The sequence below is a fragment of the Homo sapiens genome, chromosome 14 (genome assembly GCF_000001405.40).
Source record: "Homo sapiens chromosome 14, GRCh38.p14 Primary Assembly".
Lineage (NCBI taxonomy): Eukaryota > Metazoa > Chordata > Mammalia > Primates > Hominidae > Homo > Homo sapiens.
In genome coordinates, this window is record NC_000014.9 from 26,719,208 (window position 1) to 26,739,242 (window position 20,035).

Consider the following 20,035-nt stretch of genomic DNA (forward strand, 5'->3'; position numbering starts at 1 on the left):
AACAGCTAATATGAATAACTCTAAAATTTACAACCGTTCTATTTCAGAAAGTGGCCTATAAGCTGAAATCTCTTATTTCATATTCTATGCAGAAAGGATTTTTGATTCACTTGGCTGAGATTTCAATGTCTGGATTAACTAATATTGTTAAGGAAATGGAATAATGTTATATGAATATGACTGTCCGATTCTCAAGCAGAAGTAAAATGTAGAGGGGAGCTTCCAGAACTAGAGATGATGTTCAGACAACCCAGTAGGTATACATCACATACAATGTATCATTCAGATATCCAAGGATGAGAAACGCATGGCAGCCTACCCACTTGAGGCCTGGAATTGGAAGCCGGTATCTGAAACTGCTTTGTGTCTTTCTAGGGTGATCTGGCTTCTCATCTATACTTTTCTTTTTACGCATTCCTCTGGTGTTTATGCTCCCAGAATACTTGGATTCTTTGGCTATTCATGGTCATGAGTCCTCCATGACTTCACTGTGCAAATAGCTTAGACTTACAATGCTGATCCTTGCGTAACTGAAAATGACTCTTCACTTCTATTGCTTACCTTCATCTGACTAGCTACTCTTTCTGAGGTTTTGAGTTAAGGTTATATAGAGAATGAATCTGCTTAGTTACTAGCAGTTAGTTGATTGGTTTGGGATTTTTGTCAGATTCCCACTGGTAAGAAGGGGACCAAGGCAGGACATTTTGATGGATACTTTTGCTAAAATAGAATATAAATTATCTATTCATAAACACATTGACCTCTTATAATAGGTAGAGCCATCTAGATATCTTTTCTTTGAACTTGGTTTATCTTTAGTAGTATGAAGAAAATTTTCACCATAGATAAGTTGAGGATTAAATATCTATACTTGCCTACTATTTTGGTTAATGTGAAACGATCAGCTTCAACCACTATAATTAATTATCTTTTTGAAAAGGTGCCTTGAACATGGATGATACATTTTTATTATCTTCAATTATCTTAATAGTTCTATGCTGAACTTTATATTTCTGGAGACTTCTTAATCACTTCGAGCCTAGCCTCAGTTTTCTCTTCGATAAAATAGTTATAGAAACACCTGTCACAACATCACCTATGGGAACAACCAAGCATCTTGTTTCCACATAACAGATGCTCAAAATGTAAGAATCTGGCTCACACCTATAATCCCAACATTTTGGGAGGTTGAGGTGGGCAGATAAACTGAGGTCAGGAGTTCGCGACCAGCCTGGACAACATGGTGAAACCCATCTCTACCAAAAACACAAAAATTAGCTGGACGTGGTAGTACGCTCCTGTAATCATAGCTGCTTAGGAGGCTGAGGCAGGAGAATGGCTTGAACCTGGGAGGCAGACGTTGCAGTGAGCCGAGATCACGCCACTACACTCCAGCCTGGGTGACCAAGCTAGACTCTGTCTCAAAACAAAAACAAAAACAAAAAAGTAGAAATGTTTTTCCTTTCTCACTATTACAGCGCAGGAATGTGTATATAGCTATGACATTTTCTCTTATGTACTTTTCCCTCTTGTTTCTACCTCCTTGAAGTCATTTATAATTTTCTTATCAGAATTTCTTTTTAAAAGCCTCTAATTCTTTTAGAAGTCTAAGGTGGTAGAATCACTCACATCTACTCTCTGAAAGTTTTGAAATCTGCTTTTCTAAAGTCCTAAGTATCTGTCAGACTGTGCCGAGTGTTTCCTTTCTTGGCTATTTCAAGCACTAAGATGACAACTTGACTTTCTCCCCAGGTTCCTGTCACTTGAATTTCATGAACCAGTTTTTTTCTTTTGGTCAAAGTTAAGTCCAGAGAAACAGTTGTCCTCATTGCTTCATCAAGTAGCTGAGAGACAAAATTTTCAACAAAATTCATTGACATTTCAGCTATAGCCTGCCTACCTCTAGTTCATTCTCACATCAAAATCATTTATGCCTCTCCCTCCTGTAATCCTGAGCATGGTATAATTCACTGTTTCTCAAACTGTCTTTAGATAATGCAGTTTTATGGTACAGGAGTACTCTATAAGAATTTTAAATGTTGTGGATGTTTTAAAAATTTTGCTGATACAGTCTGGATTATTATTTCAATTCCTGGATTTGCATGCATATTTATGATTTTGTAGATGTCAAGTATCACCTAAAATGACACTATTTAATATTATTGTGCTGCCTTTAGGGATGACATGTCTTAATATCAAGATGAGAACAATATTTTCATGTATATTGTTGCTGAATTATTTTGCCTCTTATAACACATAATTCCTTTTGCAAAGTAAATTTGCAATTAAAAGACATTTCCACAGCATAAAAACTTTAGTTCCTTAAGTTTTTCAATAGATTAAAACATCGATTTGACCTCATGAAAAAGACAGTGCAGTACTAGTTCAATTGTCACTCGCTAATGAGAAAAGAACAGAGGAAGTTAACTCAGCATATAAATAATGCATCTCCATCAAATGAAGACCTTGCTGTTCTGTAGGAATAAAGGTGTAACAGAGTTTGAAGAGAAAGAGTGGAGGAAGACTTGAATTATCATGTGGAACACATTTTTTAAAAAAGCAGGATAATACATTTCATATCTGTCTTGTTTTAATTTTAGAAAAACACATTATTACATAGAATAATTTGAATGTTTTTGGTTATGTTCGCCATTGCTTTAATTTAGACTATTCCTTATACATCTTAACTTTATAATTGTGTTAGGATAGGGTAGGTGTTAGAGATTCAATGGTGTGTATAAAAAATTCTTGTTCCTGTTCTGGTAGAGCATTTCTAGCAAAGTCAGAAGCATCACGAAGCCTTGCAACTACTGCAATGCTGCTTTTCACCTCAGGACATTGGACTATCTCCTGAGATGACACGAGAATGAAGCAACATCTTCTCATTCCCTTCCCATCACTCATATAGCTGCTCTGTATGATGGAGTCTAATATCAAGCTTTGTAGTTGCAGCAAAAGGGTTAAATTAGAAATATAGCTACCTCTCAGTACAGATTTATTTAAGAAAAGTCTTTAAGCAGCCAGATGGCTGTGTGGATATTCTCAGATTGTGGGTGAGAGTGAAAGAAGGTGAGGTGAAGATGAAAAAATAAAAGATGTGCCAGGAGGAAAAAGAAGAGGAGAAGGAAGTAAAAAAAAGAAGGGAAAAAGGAAGATTAGAAGGAAGGAAAAAAGAGGAAAAAGTGAAAAACATAAAGAGAGAACACAAAGTCCATATAAAGTTGATATTAATAATGTAACCTAAAATAATTCTAAAAATACAACACAATTAAATCAAAATAGCATATATACTTATTTCTTAATGTTTAATTTTCTTCCATCTCCTTGATTTTTTATAATTGAATAATGTGTTACAGTAATTTATATTTGAGCCAGAAATATTTAGATTATAAACTAATCATTGCAGTTCATGGTATATAGACACTCATTAAATTTTTAAAATATGTACATATGTGGTAATAAAATTTGATGCAAAGGCAAAAATTTTAGGATTTAGTATGTGAAATTTATTGTTGAAAAAGCAGGTTCTTGCCTTCTAAGGGTTTAGATGAAAAAAATAAGAAAAAATAAGAAATGCAGGTTTCAATAAATGCCAATTAAGGCTTGATTCTGATAATCATTTTTAAAATGTTATTTACTATTCCAAGTAATCAATAAAATTAAAAACAAGATATGATTTATACGTAACACACAGGAGAATGTAAAAGTAGAAAAAATGTAGTCTATTCAGAAAAAGTTGACTGAAATAAGATAAAATATATGAATTATAATATGAATGAGATTAATTTATTCATTAAAATACATAATAATTGTTCAAGTCAAACATATAAAAGAATATGATCACATGCTGTTTACAAGAGATGCTTGAAAAACAAACTGATTAAACAAATATTTTAAACAAGCGTAAACTATTAAAAAGGGAATTTGTATTAGCAGTAATAACATCAAGTAGGTAAGGCTATTTTATCTCAGCTACAGTTTAAATCAAAGGATCACTGAAGTATGAATGAAAGTTCTTATAAAGTCATCTGACGAAGGATTCATGTGTAAACCTAAGTAAAAGAAACCAAAACCAGAAACTCTATAGTACACATATAGAAAAAAATACCTATGTTAAAGACAATGAAGCACCTATAATACAAGTAAAATATGCTGAATAAGAAATGTAAATATTTTATTACAAATGGTTTCTCAGATCCACGGAGAAAAACATGATTTTGTGAGAGGTAATCATTTGAAAGTAAAATCAACTCATATCTGTTTTCAAGCAACTCACAATATAAATTCAATTTAGGATGAATTAATGATCTAAAGTGGTCAAATAATTTGAGGATAAACTACACACAATATTAGACTCTGGGAAATTCACAATAAGCATTTGTCATATTAAAACTCCGGGGCCTTTTTTCACTAGTGAGACTTGCTTTTCTAACTGATCATAGAATAATCTTCCACATAATAATATTGTATTAACATGGAACTAAAATTTTGCTGAAATAGCTTTGGCAGGTGCTATGCTAGAGACAAAGCTGATTACTGTCATTATTATTCATTATTTTTTGGAAGACACAGGTAATGCTATAAAACAAAATTTTAAAATGCATAGATTTTGAAATAAATATTGCCAAAATCATTTTTGGTTTGTAGATAATATGTACCTAGCTGAGAAACCCAAGAGAATCAACTGAAAGTCTTTTTTATGTCCTTCCAACTTTTATTTTAGGTTCAAGGGGTTCATGTGTGGGTTTGTAACATGGGTAAATGGCTTGTCACTGGGGCCTAGTGTACAAGTGATTTCATCACCCAGGTAGTGAGCATAATATCCAAGAGGTAGTTTATCCATCCTCACACTCCTCCCACACTCCACACTCAAGTAGGCCCAAGTGTCTGTTGTTCCCTTCTTTGTGTCCGTGCGTACTCCACATTTAGCTCACATTTATAAGTGAGAACGTGGTATTGGGTTTTCTGTTCCTGCGTTAATTCACTTAGGATAATAGCCTCCAGGTGCATTCGTGTTGCTGCAAAGAACGCGATTTCATTCTTTTTTATGGCTGTGTAGAAAGAAAGCCATGGTGTATATGTACACATTTTCTTTATCTAGTCCACTGTTGATGGGCATCTCAGTTGATTCCATGTCTCTGCTATTGTAAAAAGTGTTACAATGAGCATATGCATGCATTTGTCTTTATGGTAGAACAATTTATATTCCTTTGGGTATATACCCAGTAATGGAAACTGCTGCATCTATTTTAAGTTCTTTGAGAAATCTCCTGACTGCTATCTATAGTAGCTGAACTAACGCACATCCCCACCAACAGCGTACAAGCGTTCCCTTTTCTCTGCAACCTTGCCAACATGTTATTTTTTGACTTATTAGTAATAGCCATTCAGACTAGTGTGATACGGTATCTCATTGTAGTTTTGATTTGCATTTCTCTGATGATTAGTGATGTTGAGCATTTTTTCATATGCTTGTTGGCCACATGTATGTCTTCTTTTGAGAAATGTCTGCTCATGTTCTTTGTCCATTTTTTTAATAGGATTGTTTTCTGCTGGTTGCTTTCTGAAATTCTACTGGACCTAATGCGTGAGTTATATGAAATGTTTTTTATAAAATCAATATACAAAATCAATATCATTTTTATATACCAAAAATAAATAATTAGAAAATCTGATCAATATGTTTTATTCATGATATCACTGGAATTCAACTTTGAAGAAAATCTTGAGAACCCTTATATTAAAATAAATAATAATTTTTACAAAACTATGTTTAAAGGCACTCCAGGTATTAACAAAATCTTACTGTAACAACAAATTTCTAGAATCTGATTCTAATTCTTCCTCACCCATGCAAGCCTAGTTCACTGAAATTAACATGAGGCATTTAAGGAAAATATACTCATTGGAGTAAGTAAACTTCCTTCAAGTTTCTTCCACCAGAAAAGGAAGATTTATCTTTCATTACAATCAGTCAGAGGAGTGGGGTCTTGATATGGTTTGGATTTGGGTTCCCCAGCAAATCTCATGTCAAATTGGAAAAGAGGCCTGGTGGGAGGTAACTGGATCATGGGGGTAGATTTCCCCCTTGCTGTTTTCATGATAATGAGTGAGTTCTCATGAGATCTGTTGGTTTTGTTTTTTTTTTTCTTTTATTATTATACTTTAAGTTTTAGGGTACATGTGCACATTATGCAGGTTAGTTACATATGTATACATGTGCCATGCTGGTGTGCTGCACCCACTAACTCATCATCTAGCATTAGGTATATCTCCCAGTGCTATCCCTCCCCCCTCCCCCCACCCCACAACAGTCCCCAGAGTGTGACGTTCCCCTTCCTGTGTCCATGTGTTCTCATTGTTCAATTCCCACCTATGAGTGAGAATATGCGGTGTTTGGTTTTTCGTTCTTGTGACAGTTTACTGAGAATGATGATTTCCAATTTCATCCATGTCCCTACAAAGGACATGAACTCATCATCTTTTACGGCTGCATAGTATTCCATGGTGTATATGTGCCACATTTTCTTAATGCAGTCTATCACTGTTGGACATTTGGGTTGGTTCCAAGTCTTTGCTGTTGTGAATAATGCCGCAATAAACATACGTGTGCATGTGTCTTTATAGCAGCATGATTTATAGTCCTTTGGGTATATACCCAGTAATTGGATGGCTGGGTCAAATGGTATTTCTAGTTCTAGATCCCTGAGGAATCGCCACACTGACTTCCACAATGGTTGAACTAGTTTACAGTCCCACCAACAGTGTAAAAGTGTTCCTATTTCTCCACATCCTCTCCAGCACCTGTTGTTTCCTGACCTTTTAATGATTGCCATTCTAACTGGTGTGAGATGGTATCTCACTGTGGTTTTGATTTGCATTTCTCTGATTGCCAGTGATGATGAGCATTTTTTCATGTGTCTTTTGGCTGCATAAATGTCTTCTTTTGAGAAGTGTCTGTTCATATCCTTCTCCCACTTTTTGATGGGCTTGTTTGTTTTTTTCTTGTAAATTTGTTTGAGTTCATTGTAGATTCTGGATATTAGCCCTTTGTCAGATGAGTAGATTGCGAAAATTTTCTCCCATTTTGTAGGTTGCCTGTTCACTCTGATGGTAGTTTCTTTTGCTGTGCAGAAGCTCTTTAGTTTAATTAGATCCCATTTGTCAATTTTGTCTTTTGTTGAGATCTGTTGGTTTAAAAGTGTGTGGCACTTCCCCCTTGGCTCTCTCTCTCTCTCTCCTGCTCTGTCATGGTAAGATGTGCTTGCTCCTCCTTTGCCTTTTGCTGTGATTATAAGTTTCCTGAGGCCTCCCAGCCATGATTCCTGTACAGCCTGCTGAATTGTGAGTCAATTAAACCTCTTTTCTTCATAAATTACCCACTCTCAGGTATGTGAGAATGGACTAATACAGGTCTCAGTATTTACTCAATTATTTTTATTTTACTTAAGGACCACAGTTCAATAATTCAAACCATGTTTTTCTTGGCTAAGTTGTACTGCCTGGTAAAATTTGTCATTGATTTATAATATATTTTGAGCCAGAACATTATACTTCCTAAAATTTCCATAGGCGATATAACTTTTTGTTTTTCTTTTTCAAAAGCAGAAAAAACATAATGTATTGCAGAGGGAAATCCATAATCAATAAGGCCATTTCTGCCTTATTTTTATTTTCATCGAAGTTAAACAGCTTAAAATTTTCTTGAAAATTTAGCCAAAATTTAAATATAATTTTATAGACAAAACTTGAAAAAATGATTATATGTTTAGAAGAATAATTAAGGAATAACTGAAGAGTATTTTGAAGAATAACTAAAGAAGCTTTGAAAAATAAGGGTATTAACATGAATACTTTATAGCTGGGTGTGGTGGCTCATGCCTGTTTTCCCAGCACTTTGGGAGGCTGAAGTGGGCAGATCACTTGAGGTCAGGGGTTTGAGGCCAGCCTGGCCAACATGGTGAAACCTCATCTCTACTAAAAATGCAAAAATTAGCCAGGTGTGGTGGCACACACCTGTAATCTCAGCTACTTGAGAGGCTGAGGCAGGAGAATCACTTGAACCAGGGAGGTGGAGGTTGTGGTGAGCTGAGATCACACTACTGTACTTCAGCCTGGACCACAGAGTGATACTCCATCTCAAAAAACAAAACAAAACAAAACCATTTATAGTTTAAAAGTATTCAACAGAACAAGCAGGTTAGTGAAAATAATAGTACATGAAATAGAACCATGTATGTAGAGAACTTAACTATATAATAATATTGACCTCTCAAGCCAGATAGAGGAAAGAATAAAACGTTGAATAAATACTGTTGGATCAACTTGTTAACCATTTGGGAAAACAGTACCTATGACACCTTGTATCTTAGTCATAAATATAAAAGTTACACAAATTAAATTATTTTCAAAGAAAGCATAGTCAATTATAAGGTATGATGTTGTCATAAACTCATAGACTGTGTGTTCAGTTGTTTTATAACTGGCTGTTTTATTTGTAGAGAACATGTATAAAATAAATACAAATGCATGCACAGGTTGTGATCTTTTATTAAGCGTGGCACATATGGCTGTGGCATTGTACACAGTTGTATAATTTTATATCAAAGTCATGTGCAAGCCCAAATCTAAAATATACACTTGTGAACTACAACCTTCCTAATCAATGACTCTATCATAAGAACTTCAAATATGTGATTTATTGTGAAAGTAGCAAAACAAATGGATTAACTTAAATACTCAAATCCATCATTGTTGCTCCAATGTGTTAATATTTTAAGATATTGTAGGACAAATTTTGTGTTAATTAAACAAGTGATAACTTCACAAGCTTCAGTAGCCTCATCCGTATAATACAAATAATAACACCTTCCTCATTGAAATTAAATAAAATTGCATATATAAAACACAGTGACATGTAGTAGGCACTTAAATATTAATTTTCTTCTATTTCCCTGTTACCTGAATGCCTGTGCACTGCCAGTGAACACGTACTACACAGTAAGATTAGGTTAATCTGACTATGACCCATGCAAGTAATGGGATTTTAATCTTTGATATGGGACAAATGGAAGTTAATGAAGTCATAATTTTTTCCTTTTGTTGATATTAAATTATTACAACAATTAACCCAAAGAACCCACACAAAGAGTTATTTCAAATGCAACATCAGGAGATGCCCAAATCCAACATTTCATTTTGATTTCCTATAGCTCTGACCTGAATGCTCTAGCTTATTGAGAAGAATTTTGAAAATTCAAAAGTTAGAAAATTCACTTTTGTATTTCTGTGCACCCAATTTGGTTTTAACACAAAACTAAACAAAATATCAAATCGTTATTGCCTAATGGTCTTGCTTTAGTCCTTCACAAATGCTGTTCTGTCTTCCTGCGGCATTCTTTCGACACTGTCTCTCTCCTCAATCTAGCCACCTGAATCCTACTTAACCTGAAGTTTTCACTTAGACATGATTTTGCTGGGATATCTTTTGTGATTCTACCAAACGGGTAAAATGTTCACCCCTTTTATGTACTTCCACAGCATATTGAGCTTCCCACGCCATTTCTCAAATTGAATTCAAATTACTTTCCTTATATATCTGAAGTATTGATATGTGCTAGACAGCAAGCTCCCTGAGAACAGAAACCTCCTGTATTGATCACCATTGTGTCTCTAAAGCTGTGCATAGTACAGGGTACAATATAAATATTCAATTAATATTTTTTGAATTGAGGCTAATTAGGAAAAGAAAATGGCTAACTTTGGAATTCAATTCAACATAAAATCTAGAAAGAGAATTGTGTAAATCTAAACTATTAATTCAGCTCAGCATTTGAGAGCCTGCTATGAATTTTAAGCTATTAATTACACTCATTCTCTGTAATGAGGATTTGCAGTTCTGAAGAAAAGCTAAATGATGCCTTGTGAAAAACATTCATTGCTCTGTAACTGTTTAATGAATAGTTTTATCACCAGCGAAATTATCAGCTTTGATATCTGGAATCAAATCTTAGACTATCCTGTCATCCCTTACAAACACACTCAGGAGCCTCCAGAAGTATTGTGTTAACCTATTACATGGTTAATCTATTAACCATGAGATGTATGTTACTAAGTCATTATCTGTAAAACAAAATTCTACTGTTTTTGCTGTTTGCCTCATTTATTGATATTTGTCAACATTTTCTGAATTAAAATTTCAAGAACCACATTTGTATATGGTTCTTGACAGAAAAAATGCAAGAGAAGGTTTTTTTTATGCCTTTTAAAGCTTGTAATCAAATTAGGAACATTTTAAATACTAAAACTGATTTTTGGTAATTTAATTTGCCATTACTGTGGATTATTGCAGATTACCCTAGTATACTGCAGCTTAACAGCCAAGGAAAAGATAAGTAGGAGAGAAAAAGTCAGGTGGTTTCAAGGATAAAAGGCTTCCCAAAGAAGATGAAGTTTACACTATGAGTAGTAGAAAATATACCCTCCATTGCAAGAAACAGAAAGTCCCACTCGGATACAAAAATAAAGGGAATTCATCAGCTCCTGTAACAAGAAAGTTCAAAGGTAGATCTGGCTTCTGAAAAGAATTCATCCTGGGATACAAAATGTCATCAAGGATCTGGCTCCATTTGTTTGTAAGCTTTTGTGTCTGCTGCCCTCGGCACGTTGGCATCATATTCAGGCACCTCTCTTCTGGAAACAATAATGATTACAGAATTCCAAACTTCAAACACTCTTCTTACTCTCCAGAGGCTGAGTTATCCTGGGAGAATTTCTGAATGAATTACTGTGGCTTGTGGGTATGGAGTGCATATGCCCCATCCCTGGCTTTGAGAGAGAAGTAAATTCCTCAGAAGATTCTGTATCTCAAATGAAAACAAGATGCTAATAGGAAGGGGAAAGGGGAAAATTGGCGCTGAGAAGGCAACCAATAAACATTGGCTGCACTTGGCTTTGAAGGAAGTGAAGAATACAGGCTTGTATTCTTGTATCTAACTTGTAAGTTTAGATTCCAGGCAGAAGGAGTGATGTGGCAATCAGTAAGAAAAAAATCATGGAGATGATTTTTAGCCAGAGTGTAAAGAAATAGTTATATATTGATGAATTATGTGATCGAAAACTTTTATATGGTCTTGAAGATTAGATTAAAGATGCTAAGTTTAGAAGTTATATCATGGAATGGATACTCTAGTGTAAAATTTGCCCATTGAGACTAATAATTCTCCCCCTCCACCTGCTTTTCATGGATATAGCAGCCAGTAAAAGCTATTCCAAAGATACGAGAACAATTACCAAGACCCTTTTAGTTATGTATACAAAAAGCAATAGTCTTAGGGATGGCTGAAGTTACCTGAGTGCAGATGTTGTAGACTAGGAAATTAAGTATAGCTTTCTTGATATGCATTGTAACCATACTGGTAGTTTCATCTGCAATTTCTAAAACTCCTACTATGGAAAAACTGTCATGGAACTGATCTCCTCATGGCATAGCCATACACAGTTTGAGTTGTTGATGTTCACAGCTGGCAATATTTTTAAGACTGAATAATTACAGAATTTGTTGATGTTAGGTTCTATATTCCAGTGTAATTATCTTCTTGAAATCAAATTAAAATATACTTCTGTGACAGGTAGAAGGGCTTTGGTTGAAAAGAATACACCGTCTCCCTATTATCTAAGGTGGTCTCCCGAAACAGGAAATAAGGTCTAAGGATATGTGTTACACCTTGTTGGGGGAAAACAAATATAAGTTTCTTGTTGTATTCTGTGACTGTTTTATTCTGGACTAGGAACTGTGCATAGTCAAAGTATTCCCACTGGTTAGGAGTAACCTGGTTTTTAATCTCATTTTGACAGCATTGGAAATGGATGGGGAGAAGGCCTGATGAAAATTACTGAGGAAGCCTCTTAGCCTATGTGCTCTGAGAGTAGTGACACCTAGCAGTCGTTGTAAGTAGTTCCCCGTTTGCACTTTACCTTCATTTTTACGCAAATCTTTAGTAAAAACTATGTATCTTAAATATATAGTTTCATCTCTGCTGAGCCATAGGAAATAAAAATGGGTGTATAGCTTATGCCAGGCCAGTGCTGAGAAGAAAACCAATAAACATTTAGGGATGATTCTGACTAATCCTTCAATGCCAGAGCAGTGGTCTAGCAATGGCCCCCACTTGAGGACAGCTGTGAAAAATGGAGGCCTAGTCTTAGGAGGGTCAGCAGCAGTAATGGAGGCAGTGGGGCCACCTGGTGGAGACACTGGAGAGATTGAAATATTCCAGACTATAATAAAACACGCAGAAATGTTACTGAGTAGAGAAACAAGGCTCTCTGAAGGGACATAAGTAATTGGGACATTCTGATGGGGATTATTAAACAAAAATATAATTTATATCATACTCAAAGGCTGGCAAGGTAAGGACATTTGGCTAATAATATTATAAGGAGCCAGGGTAATAATAGTATAAAAAACAGTACTGGAGGAGCATCATATAATACCATTAGTCATGTATAGGGTAGATCATAAGGCAGAATAAACTAAAGATCAGGGTGACCAGTGGAAGAGTGAATGAGAAATAAATACCATTAATGGGTTTTAAATTCCTCTGTTTCAAAAGAATCTGCAAACTTTAGGGTTGAATAAAAATGTGTTTTGTGTGTGGTGTGAGCCGATGGTAGTTGAAAAGAAAATAGTTCAATCTGGAAAAGAAAAATAAATTAGAGAATAAGCTCTAAGATCTAGATCCCTTTTTCCATTTCTTGCCCACCACAGTTCAGTCTAGATCTGAAAGTCACACTAAGTCCCCCCTTCCAAGAACACTGGCATGATTCACCAACACCATGATTTAATTTGGTCTCTCTCTACTTAGAAGCAAAGTTTGATCGGAAAAACAAAACTGAATGTTTCCTTATCATGGCCATGTTTGTACTTCTTAAACTATGGAAGTAATTTTAGGAGACACGTAGAGTATCCAACATCATTCCTCTTTCTTTCTTTCTCTTTCTTTCTTTCTTTCTTTCTTTTCTTTCTTTCTTTCTTTCTTTTCTTTATTTGCTTTCTTTCTTTCTTTCCTTTCTTTCTTTCTCCTTCCTTCCTTCATTCCCTCCCTCCCTCCTTCCTTCCTCCCTCCCTCCCTCTCTCTGTCTCTCTCTCTCTCTTTCTTTCTTGAGACTTCTTTCTTTCTTGAGACAGGGTCTCACTCTGTCATCAGGATGGAGTGCAGTGGTGCAATCTTGGCTCACTGTAACCTATGCCCCCAGGCCCAAGCAATTCTCGTGCCTCAGCCTCCCGTGTAGCTGGGACTATAGTCACATGCCACCATGCCCAGCTAATTTTTGTATTTTCAGTAGAGATGGGGTTTTTCCATGTTGCCCAGGATGGTCTCAAACGCCTGGCCTCAAGTGATCCACCCACTTCGTCCTCCCAAAGTGCTCCAACATCATTTCTATCCCCAGTTGTATTTTAATGGGTATGATGAATTTGGGAATAATAAATTATATTTCTAAATGTCAAGTTATATCTGTTTCTCTTAATAGGAAACAAAAACCTAAATAAAACAGTTTATATTTCCCATGGAATAATTGTATTAGACCCTGAAGGGTTTTTTAAACATTAAATTAATTAAAACTTAATTTCCAAATTGAAATATAAAATTTTATGTACTTATCATGTACAACATGATGCTTTGAAATATATGTACAGTGTGGAATGACTAAATTAGCAAATTAACATGTGTTACCTCACATACTTATCATTTTATAGTGAGAACACTAAACATCCACTCTCTTAGTGTATTTCAAGAATGAAATCTTTTACCTATAGTCACCATGTTGTACAATGCATCTCTTGGACTTATTCCTCCTATCTGACTAAAATCTGTACACTTGGAACAATACCTCTCGAACCCCTTCCTCCACCCCAACTACTCTAGCTCCTCATAATCACCATTCTACTCTCTATTTCTATGAGATCAACTTTTCAAGATTCCACATATGGAGATATATTAGTCTGTCTTCATAATGCTATAAAGAACTGCCCAAGATTGGGTAATTTGTAAAGGAAAGAGGTTTAAGTGACTCACAGTTCAGCATGGCTGGGGAGGCCTCGGGAAACTTACAATCATGGTGGAAAACAAAGGGGAAGCAAGACACCTTCTTCACAGGGTGGCAGGAAGGAGCAGTACCAAGTGAAGTGGGAAGAGCCCCTTCCCTTATAAAACCATCAGGTCTCATGAGAACTCACTCACTATCATGAGAACAGCATGGGGGGAAACCACTTCTATGATTCAATTACCCCCACCTGGTGTCTCCCTTGACACATTGGGAATATGACTATCACAATTCAAGATGAGAATTGGATGGGAGTACAAAGCCTAACCATATCAGGAAATCATGCAGTTTATCTCTCTGTACTTTGCTTATTTCACTCAACATAATTTTAATATGTGTGTTAAGTGTGTCTTAAGTGTTTTTTATTAAGTACAGTGCTGAACCAGAGGGAGAATTAAAGATTTAGGTGGCCTTGCTATGATAAGATGACAGAAATTTGATATGTGGTGTTAGCTAAGGTTTAATATTACCAAATACTTTTGACAAATTTTGAATTACTGGTTAATTTACAGCTGCCCATGTGCTTCATTAGCTAGAGAATATTTAGCTCCAATTTCAGAGATCATTTTCAGTTTTAGTAATTATAATCCCTCTATGATTTAATTTTTATCATTTGTCTGTGGGTCCATGACACAGAAAAATGGACAAAATATTGTGTGCAATTATATTAAAGTGACTTTTAAATAATGTAAAACACAGTGGAAAATTAATATTTTCAAATAGGAGAAATCCTTGTGTTACTATTATAAGAGTTTTGTTTTTTTAATTAGCCTAAAGTCATTAAGAATCTTAGATAACATTGTCTTTTCCAATACTACTTCTTTAGAAGAATTCAAATTATTTTTGCTAAATATCTTTATTAAAGATCTAATCTTAAAGTATTTAAGTTGCTAAGTGATGGTAGATAAGTTGGTGGTTTCCTATTTTCTCTAATGCTAAAGTTAAGGATGATAAAAGATATTTCAAAGTACTTTAAATTGTGCAGGAACATTTTTTTGAACAGCTTGACAATATTGTATATTCATAAAATAGCTCTTTAAAAAACAAATTTGAATATTTCTTTTGCTAACAACTTTTGTGACTTATATTTGGGAAATGTTTGGAAAATTCAATAAAAGCAAACATTATTATAAACAAGTTTCACATAAAACTTGGTAGCATAATTATATTATTAGAGGTAAAGTTTTTCTCCTTTCTCTTTTTCCTTCTCTCCTCCTCCTATTAATGGAAATAACTCCATTTGGATTGAGAAATAAAAATGTCAGTCTACTACAACATTGTAGTGTAGAGTTATCTTAGATATATGAGTTTTTTAGCTCTTGCCATATGCAAATGAAGAGAAAAGCATGGATGATAATTTTCTTGAGGGCATGGTGCCTGTCTTTTATTTATTATATTCTCTGTGCTAACATAGTAGAGCATAATAGTCACTTCTGTTATGAATTCCAGTAAAATAACCATATAAATATAACCCCGAACCTCACTTCTGATTGCTGGTTTAAACTTAAGACAAGGTTTAGGCTGGGCATGGTGGCTCACGCCTATAATCCCAGCACTTTGGGAGGCCGTGGCGGGCGGATTATGAGGTCAGGAGATCAAGACCATCCTGGCTGACATGGTGAAACCCCGTCTCAACTAAAAATACAAAAAAAAAAAAAAGGTTTAGAATTTCAGGATTCCTTGACTCCTTTTATAATATTAGTTAATTTCATAGTATTTTTCTTGATCATTCAGGTTAGTTATCATGTCCATTATTTTTCATTGTTTTCTGTTAATACTTTATGTCTTTTCTAATATAACCATGCAGTTTCCTGGACTTAGCATCTGGAAATAAATTTCAAAATTTTGAAGTGATTTTCCACCGTTTTTTAAAGCAAAATATTAAAGTTGACTTTTAAGTAGAGTTTAATTTCTTTCTGTGACAGAAGACCACTTAAATTATCCTAAGACAATGGATGTGAACAGGCACTTTTCAAAAGAAGACATACATGCAGCCAACAATCAAATGAAAAAAAGCTCTACATTACTGATCATTAGAGAAATGCAAATCAAAACCACAGTGAGTACCATCCACACCAGTCAGAATGGCTACTATTAAAAAGTCAAAGAGATTGCAAAGAAAAAGGAATGCTTATACACTGTTGGTCAGAGTGTAAATTAATTAACCACTGTGGAAGACATTGTGATGATTCTTCAAAGACCTAAAAACAGAAATACCATTCAACCCAGCAATCCCATTACTGGGTATCTACCAAAATCAATATAAATTTTTCTATTATAAAGACACCTGCATATGTATGTTCATTGTAGTACTATTTGCAATAGCAAAGACATACAATCAACCTAAATGCCCATCAGTGATAAACTGGATAAAGAAAATATGGTACATATACCATGGAATACTATGCAGCCATAAAAAATGAATACGATTATGTCTTTTGCAGGAACATGGGTGGAGCTAGAGGCCATTATTCTTAGCAAAATAATGCAGGAAAAGAAAACCAAATGCACCATATTCTCACATATAAGTGGGAGCTAAATTATGATTACACATGGACACATAGAGGGGAACAACACTCACTGAGGCCTATTGAAGGGTTGAGGGTAGGAGGAAGGAGAGGATCAGGAAAAATAACTAATGGGTACTAGGCTTAATACCTGGGTGACGAAATAATCTGCATAACAAAGCCCCATGACGCAAGTTTACCTGTGTAACAAGCCTGCACATGTGCCCCTGAACATAAAAGTTTAAAAAATGTCCTGAGAATATATCATTAAAAATGTTATTTGAATATCACATCTTCTTGTATAATGATTATGGATGAAAAAGCAGGCAAGACTTTTTACCACTAGCTTTGGATGACTTAGAGGAGAAAGTGAGAGTTGAACTGTCTTGTTGATTCCCTAAAGTGAGATAAGTTCTTTCTATATGAAGTTCCTGAACATCATGACTGATGTTAGCTTTCCTAATGGACTTTGATGAGATTTTCATGAAAGTTTTTATGTTCCTAAGTTTCATATGATTTCATATGAAAGCATGATTGTTTAAATATAAACTAATTTCCATAGATATATGATAATAGATAAGTTATTTTCCAAAGCCTATTTTGTTTATTCCTTTGCTGGAACAAACACCCAGGCAATGAGTCAACACAACCAATAAGAATGTTCTCTTTTTCCTTATAATTTTTAATGAAAATATTTATAATAAGGAATAATTTGGAAAAATTCAGCTCATAAGCTAATAGAAGTTGACATATCCATCACTTGCCTTATATGAAACCAGTTTTTCAAAAGTCTATGAAGTTTTGGCAAATATTTGACAATCGGGATGCATGGTTGATGATCTCATTCCACATTAAATATTATAAATATTTCCACCTTTTAAAATTTTGTTTCAAATATTATTGCTTGCAATTTATTTGGAAGGCAGGAACATCTATATGCTTTGACTTTAAGGGTTGTCAAGTTATGTTCATCTTTACTTCAACAGCTGGAAATTCCTAGCGCAAGGAAGGTAAAGACTGGCAAATATCCCCCTCAGAACTAGCATAAATGCAAACATGGTTATTTTGTAAGGCCCTCCTGACACCAGGGCTGTTAAGTAATACTTGGCGTTCAACTTTGGGGCTACTAATATTGAAAACATTTAAAGAACATGAAAGTCTCTGAAAGCCTTATAATTGTAAATGCTGAAGGAGGGACAGTTTCCATCATTCAAAATCAGGAGTGTTAACATCACAGTCAATAAAATTATAAATATGAGATTTGTGGAGATCTTATTTATGAGAACAAGGTCACAAAATCAAAGATTGAAAATTCTGCTGTGAAAAGTTGAGAGTCATCTGAATTCCCTTTATCCAAGCAATAGCTAAAATACATACTCCAAAAGACTCCCTTACATTTTTATTAACATTTAAAATTGGCAATGTAGATAAAACATTGAGAGATTATGATGTGAATTATAAAAATTAGCTGCATTGTGTCAAGTCATAATATCTTGAGGATAAAGAAGATGACAAAGTTATAATAGCAAACAGGTGTTATGTAAGACTTTTATGTATATTATTCATTGAAAAAGGATATGCTTTTTCTAAGGGGATAAAAATTATGTAAAAATATAATATTTCTTTATTTTATCTATGCTGAATAGCACCCCAGGCCTTCCCACAACTTATTTTAATGGATTGAATTTCTGTAGCTCTTAAAATCTCTGAAATAGCATTTTGATATGCTAGGACAATCATTATTTCTTGGTTGATGTGGTAGAAAAATAACTAAGTTTCAAGTTTAGATTTTCTTGGTTCATATCCTATGTTGATAATATCGCATAAGGTGGCCAAGACAGAAATAGGAAGAAAATATATGCTCAAACCTGTAAAGGCTGCTGATAGGATATGCCTGTGTTTTGAGATAGTGCTTTAGATCCTGTTGGTGGGTGCGTGGTTACGGTTATGGAGAGGGTATTGCTGTACACATTAGGTAAAGTAATTTCTATTTGGAGTACAAATTCTAATTACTTACAAAATGGAGAGCACAAATAAACATGAGCTGGAGCCATAATTCCAATAGAACACGCTATTTATCTAATTGTTTGAGAAATTAGATAAATGCAGGAAACAGCAAATGTGTTAGACTTCTAGTAGTTTCTCCCAATAAGTGCTCTTTTCAGACAAAAAAGTTTGCTATAAATTCTAACCACCTCACACTCTTTATGCTTCGTTCAATATATTGTGTACTTTCACGCTTTCTTGCTGTTCCATCTGCCTAAAATGCATCTTTTTCTGTATTTATTTAATAATCACTTACATATATTTCAAATAGGTTTTTCTTAAATAGTCATCCTCAATCCAGCCCCAGGCAAAATTAACCACAGATCTCTAATTGTTTGGTTATTATAAAATTATTTCTGTATGACTCTGTTTCCACTTTTAGATTATATTTTTCACAAGGACAAGACCATGACATTTTCTACTATCTCCATACCCTCTCTTAAATATTTATTGAATTGAATAAAATAACTTAATGTTTAATAGTTTCGTATTACTTTGTAACTCTCACACACACATTGTTAATTTATTTCTGTGCATTGCTTGATATTCACAGAGTTTTAATATCTTCTCTATAGCAAATTTCATACTGTTTTCAATGTTCAGTTACACTTTTTTATTTTTGAATTCTTCCTAGATTTTGCTTCCGGCTTTTGTCCTTGAACTTCAAAATATAAGAGGAAGACTTTCATTTGATAATCAATTCAAAAGAAAAGTCTTTCATACTGAGAGCCTACAAAAGTTTTTGTATTAGTAGGTACTCTGTATTTTAACAAAAATTCAACATTAAGAAAGATTATTTTTCTCTCTTTTTTGTATATTTGTACACCACAAAATAGATGGCATATATGACACGTTTCCACTGTTTCATACGTTCATGATCTAATCTTGGCTGTAGTCCCAAAATCCGTTTGTCAGCAGCCTGCTGCTTAAATCTAATGCCCTTTTCTCCCATTCATCTTAGTTGAGATAGAATTATTGACAGAAATGATTTCTAGAGGGAAATTAAGAATGATAATTAATGTGGTGCCCCTTACAGTTACTAAATGGCATGTCTGTCTCTATTTGTGTTGGGGGAGGTGTAGTAACTTCATCCAATTTAAATGAATCAGTATAAAATTTGGCACCAAGACATACAACTCAGAGACCTTATTAAATACAAGGATGATGCTACATTACATTTAAGCAGTACCTGTTGAAAATTAACACCTAATAGGGTGCAATTGCTTCACAGTTTCCTCAAGAGGAAATCTGCCTTATCTCTTTAATTCAATTCATTTTGCTTTGAATAATTTCATGTATATTATTCAGCTTCTGGCTCTAAACAGTGGCAAAAGTATTTATTCGTTAGAAAGTAAGTGCCTTGGTTGTTGAGCAAT

The 20,035-nt window shown here is 34.5% G+C and overlaps 1 long non-coding RNA gene across 1 annotated transcript in view; it reads left to right on the top strand.

The window, feature by feature from the left end:
* NOVA1-DT (NOVA1 divergent transcript) overlaps positions 1-20,035 on the top strand; it is a 207,821-nt gene that overhangs the window by 120,561 nt on the left and 67,225 nt on the right. Inside the window, exon 3 of the long non-coding RNA NR_147061.1 lies at positions 5,541-5,587. This is a non-coding gene — a long non-coding RNA (NOVA1 divergent transcript). The remainder of the gene's footprint in view (positions 1-5,540; positions 5,588-20,035) is intronic.